Here is a 989-nt window from a genome sequence, read left to right on the forward strand (position 1 = left end):
CGGAAAAGCAAAGCAACCCCCAGGCAGAGGCCACGGCAAGCGCAAAGGGCCGGCGACAGCACACACTTGGCCAGTTCAAGGAACAGAGAAGGGGCCAGTGTGGATTTAGTAGCTTTTTAAAAACTAATGATAAAAGCAAATGGTGCTTGTGGAACCACCACACAGAAAAACGAATACAAGAGAAATTGAAAGTCCACAGTCGCTGAAGGGTGGGGGCAGGGGAGATGGACTAAGGATCCGGGTGTCTGGGGTACAGTTCACTTGATAATCAAAGCAATTTTCCGTTTTGACAAGGCAACGCCAAAATAGCGCAGCTGCATCCAAACCTCCCAGCCGCAGCGAAACACCCGGCGTTTTTACACTCGTACCCCAGCCCGACCCTGAGCCAGGCACGTAGTAGGCGCTCGGTCTGCTTCTACATCCTCCCAGCTCCCTGGGTCCTGAGGGGGCGAGGAAAGATGAGTGCAAACCCCCCAAGGTACAGACTGACTTATCCCCAGATCCCCACAGGCCGCCAGCCAGGCCCCCAGCGGCCCCGGAATGACAGCGTCGTCTCTTCCTCCTCCTGCTTTTATGAGCTGTGAAGGAGGCTTGTCTCGCGTTGCACAATTGCCCCTTAATTGCTATTTCCTCTCAGTTATGAATTATGTCATGGATATGGCCGCTCACGTTATTAAACTTCCACACAGGCCTTATCGTCTGGAGTCCGGCCAGCAACCCAGCCTGACCTACTTTCCCACCGGATTTCAAAACCGCCTCCCTTGTCCTCTCGTTGGACTTTTCCTAAGGAGAGTCTACTGTGCCCAAAAACTTGACGCTAAAAATAAAAACTAGAACGGAGAAGGGGGGCCACAGCTGGCCCCACCGAAGGCCTGAGGCTCGGAGAAGTCCCTGGTGACTGGGGCCAAACCCCTCCCTTCCTAGAAGCTTCCTCAGAAAACCTGTCCTTGCGATGCAGGGTTCCCAGCAGGACAGGCAGGGACACCAGC

General features: G+C 54.4%; 1 annotated feature.

The window, feature by feature from the left end:
• Positions 292 to 720: a silencer, noted in NCBI's record as "fragment chr20:48995605-48996033 (GRCh37/hg19 assembly coordinates)". NCBI's record gives its function as "represses an EF-1alpha promoter that drives an FKBP-Casp9 reporter gene in an ReSE screen in phorbol 12-myristate 13-acetate-treated (for megakaryocytic differentiation) K562 erythroleukemia cells {active_cell/tissue: K562(+PMA)}" and the evidence as "EXISTENCE:reporter gene assay evidence [ECO:0000049][PMID:32094911]".

The sequence above is a fragment of the Homo sapiens genome, chromosome 20, assembly GCF_000001405.40.
Source record: "Homo sapiens chromosome 20, GRCh38.p14 Primary Assembly".
In the NCBI taxonomy this organism is placed as follows: Eukaryota; Metazoa; Chordata; class Mammalia; order Primates; family Hominidae; genus Homo; species Homo sapiens.